This window comes from Homo sapiens, chromosome 15 (genome assembly GCF_000001405.40).
Source record: "Homo sapiens chromosome 15, GRCh38.p14 Primary Assembly".
Taxonomy (NCBI): Eukaryota; Metazoa; Chordata; class Mammalia; order Primates; family Hominidae; genus Homo; species Homo sapiens.
The window spans coordinates 40,953,386-40,975,133 of NC_000015.10; the positions used below are offsets into that span (position 1 = coordinate 40,953,386).

The following is a 21,748-nucleotide window of genomic DNA, read 5'->3' on the forward strand; positions in this document are numbered from 1 at the left end:
CCACCCCAATCACCGCGGCAGCTGGCCGCGGTGGGCGTGGTCTCCCGGCAAGAAGGTTTAAAGGGCGCCTCCATGGGGGGCGCTCAGCTGGAGCTACCGAGCGGTGCCAGGCCAGGTGTGTGCGTCCGTCGGTCTTTCCGTGCCCACGCCGGAGACCAGCCCCGGAGGCCGCCTGGGCCTATCCCTGTGCCAGGCACCATGAAGCAGGAGTCTGCAGCCCCGAACACCCCGCCCACCTCGCAGTCCCCTACGCCGTCCGCTCAGTTCCCCCGAAACGACGGCGACCCTCAAGCGCTGTGGATTTTCGGGTACGGCTCCCTGGTGTGGAGGCCCGACTTCGCCTACAGCGACAGCCGTGTGGGCTTCGTGCGCGGCTACAGCCGCCGTTTCTGGCAGGGAGACACCTTCCATCGGGGCAGCGACAAGATGGTGAGCATCCAACCGTGCCCAGGGGAGTGAGGGGGTTGGGGGCGGGATACTGGGCGCCAGTGCCCTGGAATGTCCGGGGCTCTCTGGGCCAATAGAAAGAAATGTGTAAACCTGTGTCTGGGGTTTGTGGCTCATTTAAATGTATGTGCCCAGTGCATCACTGTGATGGCTGGAGTCTGTGAACCTGTGGATCCCTGTGTTGATCACCAACTGGGACCACTGACATGTCAGTGTTTCTGGACGTTTCTCCTACATCCGTGCATCGCTCCCCCACCTTCCCCTGCATGAATGGGACTCAGCATGCAGAGTGGGGCACTTGGAGGCCCGGGTCAGCGGGATTGATAAAGGTTTCCTTGCTGATGGCAGAGCTGATTTCTAACTTGTCTATTTCAAAATATTTCTTCCCTCCCTAGCCTGGCCGTGTGGTGACGCTCCTTGAAGATCATGAGGTAAGTGCCCGAATCATGAAGGGGAACCCTGGCCCAGTGTGAAGGGGGACCAGCAGAGAGAGCTCATAGGCTCTTGGCTGCAGGCTAGCTCTGTCTGATGCTTCTCTGGCAGAGTAGAAACGTGTTCTAGCTCAGTGCTTCTCACCAAATCACATGAGGATCTTGTTAGAATGCAGATTTTAGTTCAGTAGCATGAGAATGGGTCCTGAGACACAGCATTCCTAACTAGCTTACAGGTGATGCCACCACATCCTGGACCACACTTTGAGGAGGAATCCTGTCTTCCCTGGTACTAGACCACTTTGTCAACTGTTTTTTTTTTTTGTTGTTGTTGTTGTTGTTTTGTTTGTTTGTTTTTGAGACAGAGTCTTGCTCTGTTGCCCAGGCTGGAGTGCAGTGATGCAATCTTGGCTCACTGCAACATCTGCCTTCCAGATTCAAGCGATTCTCCCACCTCAGCCTCCCGAGTAGCTGGGATTACAGGCATGCGCTACCACACTCAGCTAATTTTTGTATTTTTAGTAGAGACGGAGTTTCACCATATTGGCCAGGCTGGTCTGGAACTCCTGATCTCAAGTGATCTGCCCACCCTCAGCCTCCCAAAATGCTGGGATTACAGGCATGAGCTACTGCACCTGGCCTCAACTATGCCTTTTTTTTTTTTTTTAAGACGGAGTCTTACCCTTGTCACCCAGGCTGAAGTCACTGCAACCTCCACCTCCTGGGTTCAAACGATTCTACTGCCTCACCCTCCCGAGTAGCTGGGTTACAGGCGTACGCCACCATGCCTGGCTAATTTTTGTATTTTTAGTAGAGATGGGGTTTCACCATTTTGGCCAGGCCGGTCTCGAACACCTGACCTGAAGTGATCCACCTGCCTTGGCCTCTCAAAGTGTTGGGATTACAAGCATGAGCCACCACGCCTGGCCTTTCAACTGTTCTTAACAAAGAGAGTACAAGGGCTTGAGGTACTGCCACCAGATGGCTCATCAGCCGACCACAGCCTCCCTTATAGAGCACAGTCCTGGGTGGGGGTGGCATGTTAGGATAGGAGAGGGAGCAGCAAGGAGCTGTCATGACTGACCCCGGGTGTCCCTATTTCTTCCCAGGGCTGCACTTGGGGCGTGGCATACCAAGTGCAAGGGGAGCAGGTAAGCAAGGCCCTGAAGTACCTGAATGTGCGAGAGGCAGTGCTTGGTGGCTACGATACCAAGGAGGTCACCTTCTATCCCCAAGATGCTCCTGACCAACCACTGAAGGCATTGGCCTATGTGGCCACCCCACAGAACCCTGGTTACCTGGGCCCTGCGCCTGAAGAGGCCATTGCCACGCAGATCCTGGCCTGCCGGGGCTTCTCCGGCCACAACCTTGAATACTTGCTGCGTCTGGCAGACTTCATGCAGCTCTGTGGGCCTCAGGCGCAGGACGAGCACCTGGCAGCCATCGTGGACGCTGTGGGCACCATGTTGCCCTGCTTCTGCCCCACCGAGCAGGCTCTGGCGCTGGTGTGAGGGGCTGAGCCCCTGCGGGGAGTGCTCATGTGGACATCAGGGCCAGACACCCACTCCAGTGCACAAGACAGACTTGCGACCGCTTGAGCCCACTGAGCAGATATGGTGGGTGGCTGGAGGCTTCTCTTTCTCAGTCCCTGCCTGTCTGCCAGCCTGCAGCTCTCCTGCTTGACACTGACTTACTACTTGAAACTTTATTTATTGCACCATGTTGGTGTGGTGGGCAGGTGGAGGGCCTGCCCTGGACACAGGGGCCCTGCTGAGCAGTGGCCCCATCCTGGAACTTGACCAGATTCCCCCCAGTGCTGCTGCTAACCCCACACCACCCAGGCCTCCACCTCCCCAGGGAGTCTCCAAGAGCCTCGATCCTCTGCTCACTCAGCCCAGCCATCCATAGCCCTGGGAATTCCACCTGCCAAGGATCCCAGCAGGCTGGATGAGGGATAGTAGGGCATGAGGAGAAGGAGCCCTGTAAGGACTGAGGCCCCGGCCAGCCCTTCTCCTCCACCAGTTCCCCAGAGCAGAGCTGGAGCTGATGCCTGGACACAGCTGCTGAGCCTGGCCTGGGCCTCTTACCCACTTGGTTGTTTTCTTGTCCCTCTGTCTGTCTGTCTATCTACTTGTCTGTCTGGGCCACTCCTGCCTGTGTGTTGGTCTATTCCTGGGAAGCTCATCACTACAGGCCCTGGCAACCTTCCCAGTCTGTCCCATACTGTTACCCATAAAACTATCTCTTTATCTGTGCTGTGCCGGAATGTGGTTCTTTCTCAGATGGGGGTTTGGGGCAAGTGAGGTGGTGATGCCCTGGAAGGCTCCTAAGAGGGGAAAGGGCTCCCTCTTCCTCTCCTTCCCTCTCTTCCCAGGAGGGGCAGCTGGGCAGGCAGAATTAGCAGGTGACATCACTCTCATGGGTACAGTTCATGCCTTACGCATGCAAATAGTACCCCCTGAGTTGTGCAGAATTCAGCTCATGCTCTACTTGGCAGCCCTGTGAGCAGTGTCCTTGCCACCAACCTGGACTCTGTCTCATCCTGCCCAGCTGCCCCAAGGAGGCTGGCAGGCTTGGAGCTCAGACCAGCTCTTCCTCCAGCTGCAGGGCCAGCGGCTGCCTCTTCCTAACAGCTAGGCCAGAACCCTGGTGTCCTGCTAAAGGAGCACGTGGGTTAGGGTAGGGTGATGACAACTTCTAAGGCAAGGCTAATGGCAGGGACCTGTAGCCTGGAGGACCTGGTGTCCCTTTTACTTTCAGAGTCTGAGTGCTCACTGTTGCCTCCGGGAGTGTGGTGTTGCCTGTGCCTTCCCCATTGCCATCACCTGCCCTGGTTTACCCACACTGGAATGCGGGCCCCAAGTTTACCCCCTGCCTGTCCCCAGATGTTCTTGTCTAGCCCTTGGGGACAGATCACAGCTCCAGGATCTCAGCCTGGGCCTGAGCTCCTCATCAGGAGTGGCCTCTTAGTGCTACTCAATCCCTGAACTTGCAGAATGGGGCAGACCCAAAATGACAGGCTCTAGCAGCAGAAGAGCTTGAGGCCAAGGGCTGGGTGTGGTGGCTCATGCCTGTAATCCCAGTACTTTGGGAGGCCAAGGTGGGAGAATCACTTGAGCCCAGGAATTCGAGACCAGCCTGGACAACACAGTGAGACCCCATCTCTATAAAAAATACAAAGGAAATTAAAAAAAAAAAAAGTGCCTTGAGAGTCCAACCCAGCCTCCTCCTCATTGCCCAGTCACCTCGGAAAAAGCCTTCAGCCCCCTGGGTACAAGTTCACTGTGAGGGGACGATGCCGTGGGATGATGTATGGGGCAGGCTGGGTGGTATGTGTTGCTGCTGTTCTTGCGGCTGGTGTCCTGGATTGGTCTGGGTGTCTCCAGCAGGGTCAACTCCGATCAGGTTGTGCAGCCGTTGTGGCTGGGGAGGGTGCCATGCCTGGGCCGTGTGCTCATGTCTTGGCGGCCTTGTGTCTTGGCCATTGATGGGAAGAGTGTGGAGTCCAGCCAGCTTCTTCTGGGTGCCTGGTGAGGGCAACACAAAAGGAGGAGGCAGCAGGTGGCAGGGAGCCCTGGGCAGCTGCCTCCTGTGTTTCCTGGGCCTCTTGCCAGACAGCCAGAGCACAGCCCTGCTCCATCCTGGGAGCTGATGGTGGGGAGGGCTGCTTGCCAGCTGCACGTAGGGGGCTTTCACCCATCAAGCCATTCGATCAGCAAGTATTTCCTTAAGCTCCCACTGTGTGCCATGCACCATTCCAGGCACGGGGATACAGCGGTAAAGAACTCCTCCTCCTCAAGGAACTTGGAGTCTAGAAACTGATGGTGACCATTCAGCGTGGAATGGGAGAAGAGGGCCTTGAGCACCCAGAAAGGGCTTCTGACTTGAGCAGGGCAGTCAGGGAAGGCCTTCTTGGCTTTCTTGGAGAGGGAACCTGAGAAGGGGCCTCTGAGGAACAGAGAGTAAGGGAACAACACGTGCCTGAGGGGAGGCAAGCTCAGACCAGCTGGAACAGAGTGGCCCGGACAGGAGACACGAGCCAGACAGGTGGCAGGACTGCCGGCCTGGTGAATTGCGCTGTGCCATGCTGCGGGGTGGCATTCCTCCTGGGTCAGTGGGGGCCTCTGGTGGATTCTGAGAAGGGCAGAGATGTGCTTAAGAGAGAACACTGGCTGAAGTCAGATTGGAGGAGAGAGGCCAGAGGGAGCTGTAGGGTGCCCAAGCTGAGGTGTGCCAGTGGGAATGGACAGTGGAGGGATTGCAGAATTGTTTAGGGGTGAGGTTGACAGCATTTGGTGGCTGGTTTGATGAGCAGAGTGAAAGGAGGGTAGAGACAGTAGGGCTGGGGCTCCTGGGACAGTGGCAGATCTGGAAAGAGTCGGGGGTAGATAGCCTTGCGTTTAAGTTAGGGGTGCCTGTGAGGGGAGGAATGACTTCTACGGGGATGTTCAGGGCAGCTGGATATGTTGGTGTGGGAGTCAGGAGAGAAAGCTGGGCTGGAGTTAGAGACTTGGGAACCATACATGTGGAGACTGGGCTTAAAGCCCTGGTAGGGGAGGAGAGGAGAACAGGGCCCGGCCAGGCCCTGAGGACCCCAGCCGCGGTGGTCTGAGCAAAGCAAGAAGAGGTGTCGGGAACAAGCGCTGGAGAGGTAGGCGGAGAACGAGGAGAGGGCAGGGTGAGGAGAGCCAGGGTGGAAGGTGTCTCCAGGAGGTGCACAACATGGTCATGTTGCCAAGATGGCCAAGATGTCAAGAGAAACGAGGACAGAAGAGTGTCCACTGGATGAAATGCCAGGGGGGGTCCCTTGTGGCTTCAGTGAGAGCAATTTCAGGAACAGTATGGAAAGCCACAAGGCAGGGCTGAGGGGCCAGTGGGAGGGGAAGCAGCTTTCAGGAAACATGGTTGCTAAGAAGAGAGAGAAACAGGGATAACTGAGGGCACAGGAGTTGCGGGGGTCTCAGGACCCCTTCACAAATGAAAAATTGTGGAGGACCCCAAGAGCTTTTGTTTATGTCGGATATAGTTATTAACATTTACTGTAGTAGTGCGGTGGCTCATGCCTGTAATCCCAGCACTTTGGGAGGCCAAAAGCGGGCAGATCACTTGAGGTCAGGAGTTCAAGATCAGCCTGGACAACATGGTGAAACCCAGTCTCTACTAAAAAATACAAAAATTAGCCAGGCGTGGTGGTGGGCACCCGTAGTACCAACTACTTGGGAGGCTGAGGCAGGAGAATCACTTGAACCCAGGAGGTGGAGGTTGCAGTGAGCCAAGATCGCGCCACTGCACTCCGCCTAGGCGACAGAGCAAGACTCTGTCTTAAAAAACAAACAAAAAAAAAGGTTTTCTGATTGTTTCTTTTCCTTTTCAGTTGGGAAAGACTTGAGCAGGGTGATGTTTGGGTTTCCAGCCTTAGGCCGCAGCATTAGGGAATTTCAGAGTTAGCAGGGGCTGCAGAATCATCCTATCTGTGCCTCTAGGGCATGCTCCTGGAGAGCCAGGAGTCGGTGGGAAGGATCGGCCGATTCATTGCTTTTTATTGAATCTACAACAGCCCAGGCCCCTTGGCCTCCCACTGCTGTCGGCAGCAGACAAACACAACCACCCCCGCACCTGGCCTGGGAAGGGTAACCGGAGCTCAGGGGTGGGCAAGGCTGGCTGGCTCTGGGGGCCTTAGAGAAGCGGTAGAAATCCAGTGGGTAGAAGGGGCATTCCGGCAAAGGAGAAAGGGCCACGCCGAGTGGCTGACGCTCTGGGGCGCTGGGGAGGAGGCAGGAAGCTGCTCTGGGGTCCGATGGTGGAGGAAATATTAGAGATTCTTTTTTAGAGAAGTTGACTTCTGTAGTGATGCTTGTGTTTTTTTCACGTTTTCCTTCCCACCGCAGGGTCTCTTGTTTGTTTTGTTCTTTTTCTTTGTTTTGTCTGCTTTAAGGTAGACTAGTGTCTTGTTCAGGCCCGGAGGCTTGTACTTGTAGCCAGAGAAAGATGGGTTGCTGGCGCAAGACGTGGTGGGAGTCTGCTGAGATGTTCCGGGCAGGTGTTGGCGAGGCCTGGAGGAAAGGCAGGAGCTGGGACGGTGGTGGATCTGCCTCCTGGCAGCCCACTGGAGATAGAGGCAAGCAGGAGGGAGGAGACTGGGGATCCCAGGATTTTGCCAAGAGGGTGGGGGTCTCTCATCAGCAGGGGACAGGGACTGTGCAGGACGATGTAGCCTTCGTGTACCTTTCTAGGGCTGGTGGGATTCTCTCCAGGTTGTCCCCCACTGGGCTACAGAAAGGACCCCATTCCTCTGGGGGCTGTCATGCCCTTGAAGAGGGAAATGTCAGTTGGAGAAGCAGAAGGTGTGGGAAGAAGGACCACAAATGGGGGAGACCCCCCGTTCCCCAGGCCTGGATCCGAAGAGGGATCGGATGCTCCAGGGCTGAGGCCAGGAGAGGGGAGGCAATGATCACGGGGCGTGTCCCAGATGGCCGGAGTGTGAGCAGAGGGCCCTGCTGCTCCCTGAGGGTAGGGCGACCGTGGACCCCAGCATGGCCAGGTCAGCCCTAGTTTACTCTGTTGTTCTGGAGTAATTATGACTTTGACTCTCAAAAGTGTCTCAGTTTGGACACTAAATTACATGATAGCTGTAGAGAATTGGGACACAGCAGGGTCACTTTATTAGTGGAGCTGGTGGCTGTCAGACGGGCTTGGCCAGAGCCTGCAGGAGCCTGTCCTCTACCCTTCACCACCAGCCCAGCGGCTGGGGCCCGGCTTAGGTCACAAAGCCCGGGTTGGCAGCCAGGGAAGGCCACCGTCCTCTATCCTTCCTCTTGCTGCCTGTGGAGAGTCCCCTGCAGGCCTGTCCTTCCTCCTCAGCCTGCCCTGGCCTCACCCTTGCCTCAGGCATTTCCTTGGGCGTGAGGAGAGCTGGACACGCCCTGAAGGCTCAGCCAGGTCCTCAGCCCTTCCTGGTGGCACCATCACCCCAGGGAACTCCTGGGGTATTTTCCGCGCCCCTGCCCCGCCCCACCACCCTAGCTGATCCTTCCTGCCTCTCCTCCTTCGCCTGGGACTCTGTGCTGCGCACTCCTGGCTCTAACCCCCTGTGCCTCTGTTCCTCGGCCTGGCACTGCCGTCCCCATTTTGGCTCCATCCTGGGTCCTGCCCCTTGCTAGGCCTCTGCCTGTGAGAGGTGACAGCGTGCTGGCAGTCCTCAGAGCCTTCGCTTGCTCTCGGCACCTCCTCTGCCTGGGCTCCCACTTTGGCAGCATTTGAGGAGCCCTTCAGCCCACCACTGCACTGTGGGAGCCCCTTTCTGGGCTGGCCAAGGCCGGAGCCCACTCCCTCAGCTTGCAGGGAGGTGTGGAGGGAGAGGCGCGAGCGGGAACCGGGGCTGCGTGCGGCGCTTGCGGGCCAGCTGGAGTTCCGGGTGGGCGTGGGCTTGGCAGGCCCCGCACTCGGAGCAGTCGGCCAGCCCTGCTGGCCCCGGGCAATGAGGGACTTAGCACCCGGGCCAGCAGCTGCGGAGGGTGTACTGGGTCCCCCAGCAGTGCCAGCCCACCAGCGCTGTGCTCTATTTCTCACCGAGCCTTAGCTCTCTTCCCGCGGGGCAGGGCTCGGGACCTGCAGCCCGCCATGCCTCAGCCTCCCACCCACTCCGTGGGTTCCTGTGCAGCCCGAGCCTCCCCGACGAGCGCCGCCCCCTGCTCCACGGCGCCCAGTCCCATCGACCATCCAAGGGCTGAGGAGTGCGGGCGCACGGCACCGGGACTGGCAGGCAGCTCCACCTGCAGCCCCGGTGCGGGATCCACTAGGTGAAGCCAGCTGGGCTCCTGAGTCGTGGGGACGTGGAGAGTCTTTATGTCTAGCTCAGGGATTGTAAATACACCAATCAGCACTCTGTGTTTAGCTCAAGGTTTGTGAGTGCACCAATCTACACTCTGTATCTAGCTCAAGGTTTGTAAACACACCAATCAGCACACTGTGTTTAGCTCAAGGTTTGTGAATGCACCAATTGACACTCTGTATCTAGCTGCTCTAGTGGGGCCTTGGAGAACCTGTGTGTGGAAACTCTGTATCTAAGTAATCTGATGGGGAGGTGGAGAACCTTTGTATCTAGCTCAGGGATTGTAAACGCACCAATCAGCGCCCTGACAAAACAGGCCACTCGGCTCTACCAATCAGCAAGATGTGGGTGGGGCCAGATAAGAGAATAAAAGCAGGCTGCCCGAGCTTGCATTAGTAACTCGCTCGGGTCCCCTTCCGGATTGTGGAAACTTTGTTCTTTCGCTGTATGTAATAACTCTTGCTACTGTAGCTCGCTTTTTGGGTCTACGCTGCTTCTATAAGCTGTAACATTCACAGGGAAGATCTGCAGCTTCACTCCTGAGACCACGAGCCCACTGGAAAGAACAAACAACTCCCGAAGTGCTACCTTATAGAGCTATAACACTCACCGCGAAGGTCTGCAGCTTCACTCCTGAGCCAGGGAGACCACAAACCCACCAGAAGGAAAAAACTCCGAATACATCTGAACATCAGGAGGGACAGACTCCAGACGGGCCACCTGAAAAGCTGTAACACTCACCGTGAGGGTCCGGGGCTTCATTCTTGAAGTTAGTGAGACCAAGAACCCACCAATTCGGGACACACTTGGACCATCCGCTTCCCAGGAAGCGTCAGCCCTGGGGTGCCCATGCCCAGAAGCCCACTCCAGCCCTGATAGTCGCCTCCCAGCTGAGCCAGGAACCTGGGGCTGAGCTCCATCCTCAACCTTAAAAACTTGTCATCTCACCTGTCCCGAGGATGTGCGGTACCTGCCCTACTTCTACCATCCTCACCCTACTCTTTTCCTGGGCTAGCGTTATGATGTCTAAACCTATCTATCATCCCGTTCTGTGCTCTGTATATTCATTTTCCACATAACGTAAAATGTAGGTCTGGCTAAGCCCCCTCCACATGGACAACGTGGGCCCTACTCTCCACAGACTCCAGCCACCTGCGACCCCTTCTGCCTCATGCTACGTGTGATCACAGCCTTTTCTCCTGTTGCTATCCTGACCGAGATGCTCCTCTAACAAGCTTGTCCACCCTTTCACACCCCTCAGCACACGCCCTGGCTTCATATGGCCGCCTGGTACCCTCCCTGCCGTTTCTGCCCAGATCTGTTCTGTGCCCAGCAGGTGTTATTGGCTTCATCTACTTGCAGGTCTGTCCTTACTAACTGGAACACCCCCGAGGGCAGGAACGGTTTACCCCAGCATGGAGCACAGTTCCGGGGCCCTAGGAGGAGCTCAGAGGACCTGTGGGAAATGTTCCCATGGGCAATGACTCCCTGAATGTAACGTCGTATGTCACCTTGGAGGGAAAGACCCCATAAAAACCTAATCATATTCAAGGGTAAGTGCCAGCTTGGCTCCCCAGGCTATTATTCAATCTGAAGGTTTATGTGCAAAGCACAGGAATGTGGGGCTGGAAGCCACATGGGCAAGGGCAGACCAGCCGGGCATGGCGCCCCTGGTGGGTGCCTGATTGCGGCAGCGCAGACCACGCTGCTGGCCCCCCCCCCCTCCATTTTGGATCGGTTTTTTTTCTTCTTTGATCTGTGAGAGGCCAGGGCCCTAAATGCATACCAGGGGAAGGGGCTGCCTCTTGCTAGTTCCCCCACCTGCAGTGCTAAGCTAGAGGGGCGTTTGTGCATCTTTCATGGAGTGGCGCCCCCACATCCGCCATCTCTCTCCCTGTCCCCACAGGAAAGGAGCTTGGCTTTCCTGGGTACAGCCTAATGGTGTTGGTGACTGGGGTAGGAAGGGGACTCAGGTAAGTAATGTACCCACTTGCAGCTTTCCCCCAGCCAGTCACGTCCAGCCAGGCACAGCCACTCATGGGGCCCAGTCGTGTCCTATGCCAGGCAGAGGGTGGCAGGAGAAGGGAAGGGGCTCTGGCAGGAAGGACGGGGGAGCCCATGGGTGGTGAAAGCTGATGACAAGCTGCCCACGTGGGATGCCTTCCATAGGAGCAGGCCCTCGCCTATGGGGGTTTCCAGAGGGAGACCCAGTTCCTGCTCACAGGCCAGCTGCAGCCCAAGCAACGTGGTATGCACTGATAGGAGCTGGTGGGGCAGAAACCTGGGACCCACCCCCCCCCCCGCTTCCCCGCCACAGGCAGGGACCCTCTCACCTTGGAGCTCGAACCCTCCTCCATTCCCTCATTCTAAAATCTCATCCCTACCAGCTCTAGCCTAGCTAATTTGTCACTCAGGCTTCAGGGCTCAGCTGAGATGTCACCTTCTCTGAGAAGCCTTCCCTGAAGCTTCCCTACCCCTGACCACCTAGATCTGGCTTTGGGGCCCTGCCATGCATCTCTGCCACCCGTGTTGTTTCTCTTGCAGCTTCTATTGTATCATGTTCTCGTCGATTCCTCCTTATCCTGACTGTGAGCCCGAGAGGGCAGGGACCAAGGTCCTAATGTATCCCAGCGGAGCGTACACATAGTAGGTACCTACGTCGTGTTGGTTGACTGAAAGTCTTCTCACCCAGCAGGAGGCAGGCAGTGATGAGGGGACCTCAGAGGGGTGCTCTGGACTGTTACCTCAGAAGAGGAACTATGCAGAGCGGGGCGGGCTAGCTGGGGATGCAGCTCAGGGAGGAGACTGACCTACCGTGACCATCCCACACCTCCGCAGGCACCAGGGCTTGCCCCCTGGGTCAGGGCATCGGACTGTTTAGATGCAAAGAAAGAGTCCTGGGCTGGGAGTCTGGAGCTTCCAGTCTGTTTTCAGCGGTGTGTTTTAGTCAAGGCATTTTTACACTCTCTGGACCTCTGTCTCCTCAAATGCAAAATGAAGAGCTGGACCGGAAACTTTTTCTCGTCCAGTTCCAGTAGCTCATCTTTCTGCACGAAGGATATGGGCTCGGAGTCGGAGGAACTGGGTTCAAGAGCTGGGGCTCCACTTACCAGGTGTAAGTCCTTGGCCAGGTTACTTAATCTCCCAAAGCTGCAATTTTCTCACCTGTAGAGCAGGACTGACAATCATTAGCTACCTCTCAGATTCTTGGGATTAGGTATGCTTTCAGGTGAAAACACTCCATACGCTAAGGCACTATGTGAATGTTGGTGGTGGTGGTTGTTTTTCTTATTTACTTAATTACTTGGCGACAGGGTCTCCATAGGTTGCCTAGGCTGCTCTCAAAACCCCGGGCTCAAATGATCCTCCCATCTTGGCCTTCCAAAATGCTGGATTTATAGGCAGGAGCCACCCACCCAGCCTGGTTATTATTGCTCTTGATAGTATTATTTTTCACCAATACCCAATTAGTTATTGGCTGATTTCTCATCTCACTAGAGTTAAGCTCCAGTAAGGCAGGAGCTGGCATGTTCCTGTTTTTTTGTTTGTTTTTTGAGATGGAGTCTCTATCTGTTGCCCAGGCAGGCTGGAGTGCAGTGACACAATCTCAGCTCACTGCAACCTCCGCCTCCCAGGTTCAAGCGATCCTGCCTCAGCCTCCCAAGTAGCTGGGATTACAGGTGCACACCACCATGCCCAGGTGTTTTGTATTTTTAGTAGAGACGGGGTTTCACCATGTTGGCCAGGCTGATCTCAAACTCCTGGCCTCAGGTGATCCGCCTGCCTCAGCCTCCCAAAGTGCTGGGATTACAGGCGTGTGAACCATTGCACCTGGCCTAGTGTTGTATTCTTGGTGGCCAGCTCAAAGCCTGGCTTGTCTTAGGCCCTTGAAAGATTTATTTGCTCAATAAATAAATGCTAAATGAGTTGAATGGAATGAATGAATGAACTGCACTTACTTAGCAGGGCAAATAAGGTAGACTGGGTTGGAGGGACAGAGGGAAGTGTGGGAGGAGGCAGGGAGCAGAAATGCCGCGCGGGCTGCGGCAGGAGGGAAATAAGGAAAAAAACAACTAAGGGCAGTGAGACAAGGCCACTTCCCAATCCTTCCTGGGCGAGATGCCTTGCAGGGGCCCCTGTGTCTGAGCCGTCTCCCTGGTCATGCTCTCCTCCACTTCTCACACCCCCTGGCGGGTCAGCAGGCGGAGGAAGGAGGGCTGGCTGCAGCCAGGCCATTCTGGTTTGTTTACCAACAGCACAATCCTCCTGGGTCATGACACAGTCAGCAGCATCTGACCCAGTTAAATATATCTGCTCTACTGGCCTGGACCACACAGCCAGCCCCTGCAGGCCATGTAGACCAGGGACCACCTGCTTATCCTTCTGGCTTGGCGCTGGGCCACCTCCTGACCCCAGAGCCCTGTGTCCCCAGGGAGCAAATGGCTGATCTGGGTCTAAACTAAACTGCAGTCTCTAGTTGAACTCATGTAGATAGTTTCATCTTGGACAGAATCGGAGAATTTAAGAGGAGAAAACTATTTGTCCAGCAGTAAACAATAAAATGGTTCATCTCCCTTGGACGGCATATTTGCAGTCATGAATGTTTATGAAGAGTATTTGCTAATGTTAAGAAACATTTTAATCTCTTTACATAACTATTAATGTTATTACTGTAGTGTTAAGTGGGACAAAAAGCATACAAAATTAGACATATAACGTGAGTGTAATCCTGTTTTTTAAAAAGCATGTAAATGTGTCTGGAAGGAATCTTAAACTGTCAACATAATTTGCCTCCCAGGAGGGGAACCGGGCTCCAGGGGATGGGATGGGAGAGAGACTTTCTTTTTATGCCCTTTTGTATGTTTTTAATTTTGAACTGTGCAAGTTTATCATGTATTCATAAGTAGAGAAGTAAAAAAATAGATCTGACAAAAAGCTTTTATGCCAAAAAGAGAAGGTCCACAAATAACACTCAGAGGGTAAAGAGGTGCTCACTTTGGTGATGGGCGGTGAAGAGGGGCTCCCTTCTCTACCGAGAGAAAAGCTGGTCCTATGCCCAGATAAACCAAAACATCAGCCTTACAAACCGGTGCAAGTGATTATCAAAGCTCAGCATCTGAGGCATAACAAAGACATACCTGCTTTAAAATATTTCCCCATGGCGCCTTAAATTGCAGCCTTTGGAGTCATTCCTTAGTCTGAAGTACAGCTTCTCCAAAGTCTCCTTGCAAACATTCAGGGGTAGCGGGGGTTACCATGTTATCTTTGTTTAGTGTTATATTATTTTTTGAGATGGAGTCTTGCTCTCTGGCCCAGGCTGGAGTGCAGTGGCATGATCTCAGCTTACTGCAACCTCTGCCTCCCAGGTTCAAGCTATTCTTCTGCCTCAGCCTCCTGTGTACCTGGGATTACAGGTGCTGCCGCCATGCCCGGCTAATTTTTTTGTATTTTTAGTAGAGACGGGATTTCACCATGTTGGGCAGGCTGTTCTGGAACTCCTCACCTCCAGTGATCAGCCTACCTCAGCCTCCCAAAGTGCTGGGGTTACAGGCATGAGCCGCCGTGCCTGGCCATGTTATTTTATCACATGAACTGAATTGAAATAGGGAGACACACTATAAGAAAGTTTTAACTGGTGTCTCACTCCTGTAATCCCAGCACTTTGGGAGGCCAAGATAGGAGGATCACTTGAGCCCGTGAGTTTGAGACCAGTTTGAGCAATACAGTGAGACCTTAGCTTTACAAAAAAAAATTTTTTAAAAAGTTCTGATTGAAGTCATTTCTTGTTTTTGAGTTTTCTTAATTTTCCCTAAAAATATAAACTTTCTCTTAATAGCACTGATTATAAAATAGCACATGATCAAGTAGCAAATTTGGAAAATACAGAATGTTATAAAGAATTTAAAAATCAGGCATGGTGGCTCACACCTATAATTCACGTACTTTGGGAGGCAGAGGTAGGAGGATCACTTGAGTCCAGGAGTTCAAGGACCAGCCTGGGCAACATGGCAAAACCCTGTCTCTTAAAAAAAAAAAAAAAAAAAAAAAAAAAAATCAGCTGGGCATGGTGGAAGGCACCTATAGTCTCAGTTACTCAGAAGTCTGAGGTGGGAGGATCACTTGAGCCTGGGAGATTGAGGCTGCAGCGAGCCAAGATCATGCCGCTGTACTCCAGCCTAGGCGACAGAGTGAAACCCTGTCTCAAGAAAAAAAAATTTAAAAATTGAACCATGTGCATCACATCCCTGAGGGAGCACTGAGCCTGGCACATTCCAAGAGAAAAAAAAATGTTAGATAGCAGGGTCGCAGGCTAAAGTTGCAAGGCCTGAGGATCCCATTAGTTCTGCAGCCTTTGTTGAGCCCAGCAGGAAACCACTAAGGACTTGGAAGAACAGTGACAGAAGTGTTTTTTGTTTGTTTACATGCCGGGTCTTGCTATTGTTGTCCAGGCTGGTCCTGAACTCCTGGCCTCAAGCAATGCTTCCACCTCAGCCCCCCAAGTATCTAGGATTACAGGGAAAAGCCACTGTGCCTGGCTCAGTGACAGGTTTTTAAAAGAACACTTGAGCTGGGCCGGGCACAGTGGCTCACACCTGTAGTTCCAGCACTTTGAGAGGCTGAGGCAGGAGGATGGCTTGAGCTCACAAGTTCAAGATCAGCCTGGGCAACACAGATCCCATCTCTACGTTTTTTTTTTTTTTTTTAAATTAGCCAGGTATGATGTCGCACCCTTGTAGTTCCAGCTACTCAAGAGGCTCAGGTAGGAGGATCTCTTGAGCCTGGGAGGTCAAGGTTACAGTGAGTCGTGATCATGTCACTGCACTTCAGCCTGGGTGACAGAGTGACATCCCTGTCTCAAAAGACAACACTTGAGCTGTAGATTGTATCACGATAAGAGGTATCCATTATGCTTGGAGAAATTTAAAAATGAGATAAAGGGTATTCTGGAATAGGCTGTTCATATGTACTAGAAATAGAAAGGAATATGAGAAGTAGGATATGCTAGAAATACAGAAATAAAATGACATAAAAGAACTTAGAAATCATTCATAATTCCACCATCTAGGAAAGCTGACTTCCTTCTAGTGCTCCCTCTTTGTGCCCTACTTTTCTCCTAAGAGTATATTCTGAGCATTTTCCCATGATACCAAATATTCTTGAGAATGATTTTTAATGACCACCTAATCATTCTATCATATAGATATGCAAACATTTATTTCACCAGTCCTATGTTGTGAGGCTTTTGGGTTGTCTCAATTTTTTGCTAGGTTCAATTATGCTGTCACGGACTTTTCGTCCAAGTTGCATGTAACGGAAAACCGAGTTCAAACAAGCATGAAGCAAACAGGAGTCAGTGGTGAAACCCAACAGTTAAGAGGAAGGGAGCTTTGGGTAAGGCTCAGTCAGGGATCCTGCTCCATTTCCCTGGAGTTTGCCCTTCTCTGTTGGCAGTGGTGCCCTCAGGCTGGCTCCTCTGCAGCCCTTGGGTGATAAACTTTTCTGTTCATGACCATGGGAGTGGCCTGTTTTGCTCTGACTGGGCCACCTGATGAAAGGTTAGGGATGAGGGAGGGAAGCTAGCCCTGACTGCCTTGGGTCTGGGTTCCCTGTCTGTCCTTGAGCGGGCAACTGTGGCAAGACGTAAGGGTGGCTGTTGCGTGATGTCGGGGGTGGGGGGAAATTTTGAGGAGATAACCAAAGAACATCCTCTGGCTACTCAGAGAGGGCCTGTAGACCAGCAGCCTCCACATCACCTGGGAGCTTACTGGATATGACTCCCAGACCTAGCAGATCAGTCTGCATTTTTAATAAGAGTCCCAGGAGACAGTTCTCACATTAAAGTTGAGAGGCCCTGCCCTCTGGCACCCTTGTGTAGGGATCCCTGAAAATAGAATGGCTGGAACAACAGCAGGGATGTTTTAAAAATTTTTTTTTTTTTTTGAGATGGAGTTTCTCTCGTTGCCCAGGCTGGAGTGCAATGGCGCGATCGCTGCTCACCGCAACCTCCGCCTCCCGGGTTCAAGAGATTCTCCTGCCTCAGCCTCTTGAGTAGCTGGGATTACAGGCATGCGTCACCACGCCTGGCTAATTTTGTATTTTTAGTAGAGATGGAGTTTCTCCATGTTGGTCAGGCTGGTCTTAACTCTCGACCTCAGGTGATCCACCCGCCTCGGCCTCCCAAAGTGCTGGGATTACAGGCGTGAGCCACTGCGTCCGGCATAAATTTTTTTTTTTTTTTTCTTTTGAGATGGAGTCTCGCTCTGATGCCCAGGCTGGAGTCCAGTGGCCCAATATCGGCTCACTGCAACCTCCGCCTTCCGGTTCAAGCAATTCTCCTGCCTCAGCCTCCCGAGTAGCGGGCTACAGGCACACGCTGCCACGCCTGGCTAATTTTTCGTATTTTTAGTAGAGACGGGGTTTCACCGTGTTAGCGAGGATGGTCTCTATCTCCTGACCTTGTGATCCGCCCGCCTCGGCCTCCCAAAGTGCTGGGATTACCAGCGTGAGCCACTGCGCCTGGCCGGCCTAAAAATTCTTAATACACATTGTGAAATTGTCCTATAAAAGGTTCTGTCTCTTCACATTCCCACCCTGGGATCTGGGTGTTTGAGGCCTAAAACTCATGCAATTTGCGGAAGCCTTCTTTAAGAAAAAGAATAAAGAAATTAAGTACAAAAGTACAAAAGTGAATTAAGTACAAAAGTGAGTATTTAGAATAATAGAAAATTTAAAGATACCTTGGCCAGGCATATGGTGGCTCATGCCTGTAATCTCAGTACTTTGGGAGGGCGAGGTGGGATGATTGCTTGAGCTCAGGAGTTGACCAGCCTGGACAACATAGTGAGACCCTGTCTCTACCAAAGTTAAAAAAAAAAAATTAGCTGGGCATAGTGGTGCACACCTGTAGTCCCAGCTGCTTGAGGGGCTGAGGTAGGAGGATCACTTGAACCCTGAAAGTCAAGGGTGCAGTGAGCCCTGATCACACCACTGCACTACAGCCTGGGTGACACAGCAAGACCCTGTCTCCAAAAAAAAAAAAAAAAAAAAAAAAAAGCCTAAAAAATCTTAACATCATTGGTTTTAATTACCAATAGGTTGAAACATTTGAAACTGCCACATTTGTAAGTAAAAATAGTCATATGGTGAGAGAGCAATTCCATGTTGTTCAACCTACTTTTTCACTACATTTCTGGCTGCATTTTCTTTTTCTTAGCAACTTTATTGAAATGAAATTACCCTACCATACAAATTACCCATTAAAGTGTACAATTCAATGGCTTTTACTATATATTCACAGAACTATGCAGCTTTCATCACTATCATTTTTAGGACATTTTCTTTCATCAGACCAAAAAGAAACCCTATTCCCCTTAGCTCTCATACCACTCAGTCCCCTCATCCCTAGGTAACCATGAATATATTTTCCGTTTCTATAGATTTTCCTGTTCTGGACATTTCATAATCATACAATGGTCGTTTGTGTGAATTCTTTCATTTTTTTTTTCTGAGATCTGGCAGAAATTGTTTTCAAGTTTCATTCACGTCGTAGCATATATCAAGTTCATTCCTTTCTATTGCTAAATAGTATTGCATTGTATGGACATATCACATTTTATCCATTCATCAGTTAATGGATGTTCAGTTGTTTCTATTTTTTTAACTGTTGTGAATAATCCTGCTCTGAACATTTGTGTTATAGGTTTCTTTTTCTTTTTTTTTTTGATACAGAGTCTTGCTCTGTCACCCAGGCTGGTGTGCAGTGGTGCGATCTCAGCTCAGTGCACCCTCTGCCTCCTGGGTTCAAGCGATTCTCCTGCCTCAGCCTCCCGAGTAGTTGGGAATTATAGGTATCCACCACCATGCCTGGCTAATTTTTGCGTTTTTAGTGCAGACAGGGTTTCACCATGTTGACCAGGCTGGTCTCAAACTCCTGACCTTAGATGATCCACCCACCTCAGCCTCCCAAAGTGCTGGGATTACAGGCATGAGCCACCGTGCCCGGCCTGTGTACAGGTTTATGTGTGGATGTTTTTTCATTTCTATTTCTCCTGGGTATGTACCTAGGAATGGAATTCGTGGGTCACATGACAAACTATCTTAATAAAAGTTCTCTAGAGAAACAAAACCAATAGGATGTAGATTATGAAGCAGAGATTTCTTATAATGAGCAAGCTGGAGATTCAGGAGAGCTGATGGGTGCAGTTCTAGTCCAGACGCCAGCAGGCTTGAAATCCAGAAAGAGCCAATGTTTCAGTGCAAGTCTGAAGGCAGGAAGAAGCCATCATCTCAGTCATGTAGGAGGAGTTCTCTCTCACTAGGGGAGGGAAGGGCAGGCTTTTTGTTCTATTCAGGCCTTCAACTGATTGGATGAGGCCTGCCCACATTAGGGAGGGCAATCCACTTCACTCGGCCCACAGATGTAAATGTTAATCTTGTCCAAGAACATGCTCACAGACACACCCAGAATGTTTGACCAAATATCTGCACATTGTGTGGCTCAGCCAAGTAGACAAAATCTTAGTAACTATATGTTTAACTTTTTGAGCAATTGCCAAACTGTTTCCAAAGTACCTGCACTATTTTATGTCCCCGCCAGCAATGAATGACTCCAATTTCTCTATATCCTCATCACTTATTTTTTTGTGAAGAGCTACACACATTCTTTGCCTTTTTGAGTGATAATGATATTGCAATATCACTTTCTATAAAAATAATAGGAAGAAAATGTAGTCCTGTGTTTTAGTACATGGGTATAAAATGTTTGATAGTTTTGGAACGTTTTCCATAGCCACCTCTAACTTACTCGCAGATACTTGTCCAGGCTGGGCCTCACTCATTGATCTCTGCAGGTGTGGTCCAGCCAGCCAGGTGCTCATTGCTCCTGGCCCTCAGCCCCCACCGTGCCGATCATTGAGGGGTTCATTGGCAATAAAGCTGGGGTTGTGGTGGTCCAGATCATTCTCCTTGAGGTCAACTTTGAGGTCTGGATGTTGGATGAGGCCCACTAGGGGCAGGTGTCACTGGAGGTAAAGGGACAGCCCTAGGACCACCTCTTCCAAGGCGCAGAGGGTGGCCCCCAGTCTAGAGCCATGCTTCATGCCACATATGCAGAGGGCACACACACACACACACACACACACACGACTCTTGAAGATTAAGCTACAATGTTTCATTTATTATAGCTTAGCCAACTTTAGCAATTATGTGAAAACAAATTTCACCCAGTATGACAGGAAATGCTAGGAATCTCCTTGTTTTATTTTGCATTTATTAATGAGGTTGATGTGATGGTTAATTTTAGGTGTCAACTTGACTGGATTATAGTATGGGGCCCACGTAGAACAAAAAGGCAGAGGAAAGGCAAATTCCCTCTTTTCTAAAGTGGGGACACCCTCCTTCTCCTGCCGCTGGACATCAGGGCTCCGGGTTCTCTGGGATTTGGACTCTGGGACTTGCACCAGAGGCTCCCTAGGCTTTCAGGTCTTCAGGTTCAGACTGAGAGTTACAGCACTGGCTTCCCTGGTTCTAAGGCTTTCAGACTTGGATGAACCATGCTGCCAGCTTCCCTGGTTCTCCATCTTGCACACCACCTATCGTGGGACTTTCCAGTCTCTATAATCATGTGAGCCTATTCCCCCAGTATGTCCCCTCTCATATATCTATATCCTATTGGTTGTCTCTCTGTAGAGCCCTAATATGGCTGAACATTTCCCATGGCTATTACCCATTTGCATGTGTGTATATTTTCTATTTATGTACAGTGCTTGGCACAAAGTGCTTTAAAAAATAAATCTATAGTGTTTTAGCCCACTTTCCATTGGAGTGTTGTGTCCGGACTATTAGCTGTCCATTCAAATCTGTTCTCTTCTTCCCTAATTACATGGCAGCCTCCTTTGGAGTTAGATAGGTTCTTAGGTCTAAAGTTCTCTCTGATAGTGTGTGAGCCACTTAAGGGTCTAAGTCTTAAGGCAATACAGTAGGTGGATCCCCTCCCCAGTCTTCCCCTCCCATAGAACATTTCATTTTCTTTTTTTTTTTTTTGAGATGGAGTCTTGCTCTGTTGCCCAGGCTGGAGTACAGTGGCACAATCTTGGCTCACTGCAACTTCCGCTTTCTGCATTCAACTGATTCTCCTGCCTCAGCCTCCTGAGTAGGTGGGATTACAGGTGCCCGCCACCATGCCCATCTAATTTTTGTATTTTTAGTAGAGATGGGGTTTCACCATGTTGGCAAGGCTGGTCTCGAACTCCTGACCTCAAGTGATCCGCCTGCCTCAGCCTCCCAAAGTGCTGGGATTACAGGTGTGAGCCACTGTGTCCGGCCCCATAGGACATTTCTATAAACCAGTAATGACCATGCTGATGAGGACAAAAGCATCAAAACAGCAGAGAAACAAGATGGAAAGAATGTGGGACCTTCAATGTTCGTGTAGAGCAGATCCAAATTCAAACTCTTACATGTGAGAGATAAGAATTTATATCTTATTTAAGCCATTAAATAAGATATTTAAGCATTTTGGGGTCTGTTACAGCATCATGTGTTACCCTAACCAATATGAACAATGATATTAATTGGTCAGAGGGCTTATGGCCCAACCAGTGGACAGACACTGCAATTACTCCCTAGGGATGACCAGCCTAGTCCAAATTACTCCCTAGGGATGACCAGCCTAGTCCAATAAAGATGAGGCATGGGTAGTGGAGATGAAGTGCAAAGACACTGGCTTTTGAGCTTGCCCATTTCATTTTCACTGCTCCTACTAAAATCCGGTGATGGACTATACTGACTTACTCTGCCTGCAGATGGAGTCCGAGAGGGAGCATGCACCAGTCTACTACCTAGACCCCTTGGCAGAACTTTTCCTAGATGTGCAAGGTGATCTATACTTTTTTTTTTTTTCAAAGAATGAAAAAAAGGAGTAAAATCAACAAACTTTATTGAACTGGTTCAAACCGGAACACCCTTATCTAGAACATGTTACTTTACTTAACCAGAACTGTGGTACTGCGGCCCAGCAGAGGGCCACAGGCATCCGTGG

At 51.4% G+C, this 21,748-nt stretch overlaps 1 protein-coding gene and 1 long non-coding RNA gene across 5 annotated transcripts, besides 3 other annotated features; both read left to right on the top strand.

The window, feature by feature from the left end:
- CHAC1 (ChaC glutathione specific gamma-glutamylcyclotransferase 1) lies at positions 86–3,127 on the top strand. Of its 2 annotated transcripts, NM_001142776.4 has the most exons (4): positions 86–429; positions 843–878; positions 1,988–2,029; positions 2,165–3,127. In NM_001142776.4, the coding sequence occupies exons 1-4, from the start codon at positions 199–201 to the stop codon at positions 2,387–2,389; spliced, it is 534 nt and encodes a 177-aa protein (NP_001136248.2). In that variant the 5' UTR covers positions 86–198; the 3' UTR covers positions 2,390–3,127. The 2 variants fall into 2 exon arrangements, with proteins under 2 accessions (NP_001136248.2, NP_077016.3); NM_024111.6 differs by having other exon boundaries at positions 1,988–3,127.
- Positions 2,314–2,864: an enhancer, noted in NCBI's record as "H3K27ac-H3K4me1 hESC enhancer chr15:41247897-41248447 (GRCh37/hg19 assembly coordinates)". NCBI's record gives its function as "activates a minimal SCP1, AML or CMV promoter by ChIP-STARR-seq in naive H9 embryonic stem cells {active_cell/tissue: H9 hESC(naive)}" and the evidence as "EXISTENCE:reporter gene assay evidence [ECO:0000049][PMID:30033119]".
- Positions 4,367–4,903: an enhancer, noted in NCBI's record as "H3K4me1 hESC enhancer chr15:41249950-41250486 (GRCh37/hg19 assembly coordinates)". NCBI's record gives its function as "activates a minimal SCP1, AML or CMV promoter by ChIP-STARR-seq in naive H9 embryonic stem cells {active_cell/tissue: H9 hESC(naive)}" and the evidence as "EXISTENCE:reporter gene assay evidence [ECO:0000049][PMID:30033119]".
- Positions 9,104–21,576, top strand: LOC105370789 (uncharacterized). Of its 3 annotated transcripts, none has more exons than XR_007064601.1 (4): positions 9,104–10,262; positions 10,616–10,682; positions 11,254–11,355; positions 21,513–21,576. It is a non-coding gene; the product is annotated as an uncharacterized LOC105370789 (long non-coding RNA). The 3 variants fall into 3 exon arrangements; XR_001751507.3 differs by lacking the exon at positions 21,513–21,576 and having other exon boundaries at positions 9,104–9,154; positions 9,228–10,262; positions 11,254–11,428; XR_932166.4 differs by lacking the exon at positions 21,513–21,576 and having other exon boundaries at positions 11,254–11,428.
- Positions 14,708–15,359: an enhancer, noted in NCBI's record as "NANOG hESC enhancer chr15:41260291-41260942 (GRCh37/hg19 assembly coordinates)". NCBI's record gives its function as "activates a minimal SCP1, AML or CMV promoter by ChIP-STARR-seq in naive and primed H9 embryonic stem cells {active_cell/tissue: H9 hESC(naive and primed)}" and the evidence as "EXISTENCE:reporter gene assay evidence [ECO:0000049][PMID:30033119]".
- Positions 21,577–21,748: the final 172 nt, after the last annotated feature.

Coding starts and splice junctions, on each gene's coding strand:
- CHAC1 (NM_024111.6), top strand. CDS start 199: ATGAAGCAGGAGTCTGCAGCCCCGAACACCCCGCCCACCTCGCAGTCC. Junction 430..842: donor ATCGGGGCAGCGACAAGATG/GTGAGCATCCAA, acceptor TTCCCTCCCTAG/CCTGGCCGTGTGGTGACGCT. Junction 879..1,987: donor CGCTCCTTGAAGATCATGAG/GTAAGTGCCCGA, acceptor ATTTCTTCCCAG/GGCTGCACTTGGGGCGTGGC.